Genomic DNA, 5,935 nt, shown 5'->3' with positions numbered 1-5,935 from the left:
AAAGAATTATACAAACATTCTGAATTATTTGAAACATGACTTTTTAACTGGATAGTGATATAGGATTCCAGTGTCTCTGTTACCATTAATGTCCCATCTTGCTTGTGCCAAAAGAAGCCACAGCAGGTCCTGAGCTTCATAAAACTGAGGATTAGGCAGAGACAGCAATAGGAGGGTCCAGCCGTCATACGACACATGCATAAAGCCAAACCCAAAACAACATGCTCCATAGTAAACATTGTGTCCACATTTTGAGTGAATTTAAACAGATGCTTTCTTGGTATTCCTTAATAATGAGAATAGTAACAAACATACAATAAAGCATTGTTTGGTCAATAAAATTTAGAAAACAACTTCACAATCATATGTTAATGAAGTATTAAATTTATTACATCATAAAGTAGGTAGTTAACAATAAAAAATTTGTTCATTGTTAAAGCATTAACAATGATTGTAATGACTTATATCCATTGGACTAAAACTTAAAAGAACCAAGATGACAGTAAAAATCAGATACATAAAATTAAGCTCTCTCTTATTAAACCTAGTAGGTAATGGATGTTCAGCCATAAAACACCATCCACTATTATAGTTTCACTTTGGAGCTCACTGATTTCGTAGTTTTGTTTATATTTAATATTTAAATTAAAATATAAGAAATATAAGCGCAAGCAAATTTTTATCAATTTTGGTATGTATTAAAGTTATATCTGAAAACAAATACTTTAAGTCAACACGTTAGACCTATTAGAATTCATAGGTTTACATAAAAAGAAGCTACATACTGTACAAGCTACGTAACTGTTCTGTTTGGCTTTACTCAGATAAAGAGTAAGACTTGTCTTGAGAAGGATAATGGTGCATATATGTGGTAAGTTGAACATGAATTAGGAACATGAATTAAGAGCTAAGTAGGAGAAAGGAGCATTATTTTCTGTATTCTCAAATTTGTACATAATGTCATGAAATTTTTTCAGTATCAATAGATATAAGTTGATGGTGTAGGGAATCTTACATGATTTTTACAGAAGAGTATAAGTCAACTACACACAGAGTAAAAATTAACCCGAGCACCTCTGTGAGGACAAAGTCAGATGTAATTTTATCTTCTTCCATAATAAAACCTTGAGGTCTAGGACACCATCAATTCTTTAATATCTAAAATATTCCTTTCACCATTTTAGCCACATGTGAGGACCCAGGTGGCTTAATGGTACTAAAATAACTTTACATAATAATACATAATGCTTCCGTTGGGGGAAAATGTTAACTTACAAGCACAAGTGGAAACATTTCTCAAGAAGCCTTTACATTTGGGTGGGTAAATAGAAGCATACCAGGAGACATACATTTAAAACAAAAAAAAAGAGATCAATTTGGCTTTTTTGTTTTCAATGAATAAGAGATCCATTTTAAAAAAATGCCTGGAGAGTGTTTCTCCAGTTACACAAAACTGTGGTCTAGATAAGTGTTTCCAAAATAAATGAATAATAAAAAAGTATCCTATTTTTGTTATAGCTTAGATTTGTAATGGTTCATAAGTATGTCAAAATTATATTATAGGAAGCCATACAATTTCAGTAAAGAGAGTTTATAATCCTGTTTTAGTCATTGGGAAGTAATTTAATGTACTGAAATTTCCTTTCTGAAATTAAATTTCAGTTACAATCCAAAATAAGTTTTTTTAAAAAAAATCTGCCAAGTTCTTTATTCATCAGATGCAAGCTAATTTTACTTGAACCAAACATCACTCAAGCTCAAACCTTTTCTGTTTATTATTTTGAAAAAAATATTGTACATAGATGATGCTAGAGTTTCAGGGAGAATTCTTATAAGCTTTTTCTAGAATAGTTCTTTATTTCCAAAAAATAGACAAATTATTTGGGAAACAAATCATTTTTTAAAGAAATGAACTTTTAGCTCATATTCTCATGATGTAAGAAATTATTTCTTTTGAAGAGAAACTGTGCAATATGAAGTCTCTTTTGAAGAGTCTCTGTGGAATATAGTGGCATAGAAAATAACTCAAATAATACATTCAATAATCATGTAAACATAATCTAAGAGCCCGCAGGTTAGTATAATTTTAAAGGTAGTGAATAACAGCGATGCTCAGAATTCAACAGTTACTGGTGATAGATAAAGCTGAGGCTTTTCAGATTAGGAATGGGAGGAAATAAGACTGAATTACCGATTGGAAAAGGAAAAAAGCAAGGGGAAAAAATAACTTCTTAATGAGTTTGTGGTCTTCAGTTTCACTGTGACTAGTCTTGCTCAGGGTTAGAACTAAACATTTGCGGTTAGCTTTGGATAATTGATCAAATTTCTTTTGATTAAAACACACAAAAAATGTATCTTTAGAAGAGTCCAGCCAGTCAGGATGAAGCTCAACATTGCCAGTCATGAAAAAGTTGGGAGCTATAAACATGACTCTTTAAAATTACTATAGTGATAAAAGGGGAAGGGTGCAGCATTTCCTACATATCACAGATGTGCATTTAGTTTTCATTACTTTGGCTATTGATCGTAAATGACATTTTACTCAATTCAATGTATTTAGAGACTTGGAGTTCACCAAAACCTTTTAGTAAAGTGGATTATTTTATTTGGGGAACTCAAAAGCAATACATGTTGAAGAACTGATTTTATTCTCATTCCTATAGAAAGAAAAACATCAATTTCCTCACAAGTATCATAGTAACACATCCACCTGGGTTCTTGCTCCCAACTGTTCTCGAAAGAAGCCAAAGAAAAACACACTTGTAATAGTAGAAACGCAAACTCAAATTTCATTGAAAGAACTGAAAATGGACTTGCTCCATTATTTGTGATATCCTTATGTGTTACAGATACAAGTTTTTCTTATTTCCAAAAGAGCAGAAGTAATCTGAGGCACTCTAGTTAAATAAATCTGTTATATTGCTTATATATAAAGTCCTAGATTCATAAGTTCAATCAGGTATGCATTCAAAGTACTTACACAAAATGTGTCACCAAGGAGAAATTCAATACATGTATATTAAACTGCTGTTAAACTGTATAGTTTTGACATTAGCTCCATGTCTCTGAATAACATGCTTATATTGTTTATATAAAATTATTGATTTTTAAATATTTGACATTATTTAGGGACTTTCTGTTGTGGAAATGTGAAATTTGCCTTCTTTTTTTCCTGATTCCACTATACACAGAAATTCTATCCATTCCCCATTTTCTCTCTATGTATGTTGTGTGTATACATATATATTTAAATGTATATCTATATATGTTTATACATATCACATAACATATAATAATATATGATACATATATATTATATATGCTATATATATGTTTTATATATATGTTATATATTATATATATGTTATGTATTATATATTACATATGTTGGTTAATTCAAGATTAGTTATTATATTATTGGGCCTATATATAGGATAGTCTCAGCTGAATGATGCAGTGTATATATAATGATTCTCTTTCCTGTGTAATTTGTTTGCCTGGGAGAATTAGTAGAATTGCTTTTATATTAGATTTTTATGTATCATTCATCCAATACTAAAGTCTACCAATTATCTCACCGTCTTCTCCACATGTTCAGACGCATCAGGTATTTTATCAGTCTCTCCTGGGACCTTCTAATTCACCTCTTATAGACTGGATTCTCTCTTTGTTGCACACCTATTATGTTGTATTATTCCTTTACCATTATCTTAGATAGCTCCTTTTTTTCTTCTTGTGTTGAAACCCTTGGTTCCTACAGTTGACGTCTCTCTTCATTTTGGATACCCTTTCTTTTTAAGGAGTACATCCTCCAATAGCTTCCAGAGAAAGAGTGCATGAAAGGTAATCCTTTTGTGATTTTACATGTCAAAAATGGCTTTATTTGATTTTTACAGGAGTAAGGGTTTGGCTTGGTATATCAATTCTAGGCTAAAATTTATTTCACTGGGAATTTTTAAGGTATTTATGTAGTTTCTAATGCTGTTAGGGAGAAATTGGAAGCCATACCAATTCCTTATCTTTTTTAATGTGGCCTGTATTTTTTTTTAAGTGGAACATTTTAGGAACTTCTCTTGTCCCTTGTGTTCTGAAATTCATAATTATGTGCGTTGGTCTGAGCCTATTTTCATCTGTTAGGCTGTAACACAGTTGCACAGAGTGCAAATTTTTAATCTCTTTGATTTGGAAATATTTGTTGAAGAATTTCCCCTTCATGTTTTATTTTATTTTCACTAACTGAAAATCATCATTTGGAGGTTTAATTACACGAATGGACTGGGAATTCAATTTTATTTTATATTATTTTACTTATTTTATTTTCATTATTACTTCATATTTTAAAACAATCTATATTAATCTGTTCTCACGCTGCTAATAAAGACATACCAAAGAGTGGGTAATTTATAAAAGAAGGAGGTTTAATTGACACAATTCAGCAGGGCTGGGGAGGCCTCAGAAACACAATCATTGCAGAAAGGGAAGCAAAGACATCTTTCTTAACACGGCAACAGCAAGAGGAAGTGCCTGGCCAAAGGGGGAAAACCCCTTTTAAAACCATCAGATCCCATGAGAACTCACTCACTATCATGAGAACAGCATGCAAGTAACCAGTAACCGGCCCCCATGATTAAATTACCTCCCACCGGGTCCCTTCCAGGACATATGGGAATTATGGGAACCACAGTTCAAGATGAGATTTGGGTGGGGACACAGCCAAACCATATCACAACCTTTTAAAATAACAATAAAATTGAGAAGATAGCACAGAGGGTTCCTACATACTACACACCAAGATTCACCTATTACTAATATTTTATATTAGTATAATAATAATACATTTGTTATATTTAATGAATAATAGATGCATTATTATTAAAGAAAATTGTAGTTGATTCAGATTCCCTTAGTTTTTACCTAACCTCCTTTTGTGTTCCACTCTCCTACATTACATTTAGTTGTCATATCTCCTTTGCCTCATTTTTACTGTGGCAATTACTCAGACTTTCCTTGCTTTTGATAACCTTGATTGTTTGGAGGAGCAGGTAAAGTGTTTTGTAATATGTCTGTCATTTGAAATTTGTTTGATATTTTTCTCATTATAAGAATGGGTTATGGATTTGGGGGAGAAAAACCACAGATATAGAGTCTTTTTTTAGCACATCGTATTAATGGTACACACTATCAATGATTTACTCTCTGGCCATACAAGATGCTCCAGGATCATCTGGTTTATTTTCTGTCTCATTCCAAGGATTAGCCATTTCTTCAAGGAGCCCTGGTTCCTTTTATTAGGGAATGGCATTAGAAACCATGATCTGGGCACTAACTAAGCTTACTGGCACTAGAAGTGTAAATTTTTCTAGGCCCTCTCAAATGACCAAACAAGGAAATATATATGTGTGTATACTAAACTGTACATATAATCACATCTGTAAACTATTCTATATGTAAACATTCATATCTTCATTAAGCCAAAAATAAGTTCATAGTCTCCAACTACAATCCATTTATTTCCACGTGGATTATTCAAGCATTCTCCTTTTGTTTAACTGTAACCTACCACTCCAACAGTGAGAATTTACTCATTCCATTATTGAATTCCAGCATAAATGAATAGTGGTATCAAAATGTTAACTACAAAAACCATAGAAAACAACTTTATCAATTAGAGTATGATGTTTATTAACAGCTTTTTAAAAAATTATTCTTTGCCTTAGTCTCGCAGACTTCATTCATTTCCAAAGTTAGTTAGTTCAGGACTTTCTCCCAACTTCTGTAAGTGAGGTTGTTTAATTATTATTTATAATACAATTATGTTATTTTTTGTCATATTCTGCTTTCTATTCCGGGACCACAACCTTCTAAATATTTTTTTTAACGTTCACATACATTAAGGTTCACTCTTTGTGCTATAAACTTCTATTGATTTTGACAA

At 31.7% G+C, this 5,935-nt stretch overlaps 1 annotated feature.

The window, feature by feature from the left end:
• Nucleotides 4,581-4,640: an enhancer, noted in NCBI's record as "active region_27417". NCBI's record gives its function as "activates an Ori minimal core promoter by ATAC-STARR-seq in GM12878 lymphoblastoid cells {active_cell/tissue: GM12878}" and the evidence as "EXISTENCE:reporter gene assay evidence [ECO:0000049][PMID:35858748]".

The sequence above is a fragment of the Homo sapiens genome, chromosome 8 (genome assembly GCF_000001405.40).
Source record: "Homo sapiens chromosome 8, GRCh38.p14 Primary Assembly".
Taxonomy (NCBI): domain Eukaryota; kingdom Metazoa; phylum Chordata; class Mammalia; order Primates; family Hominidae; genus Homo; species Homo sapiens.
The sequence above is the reverse complement of the archived record's forward strand: the minus strand, read 5'-3'. Positions and strand labels throughout refer to the sequence as shown.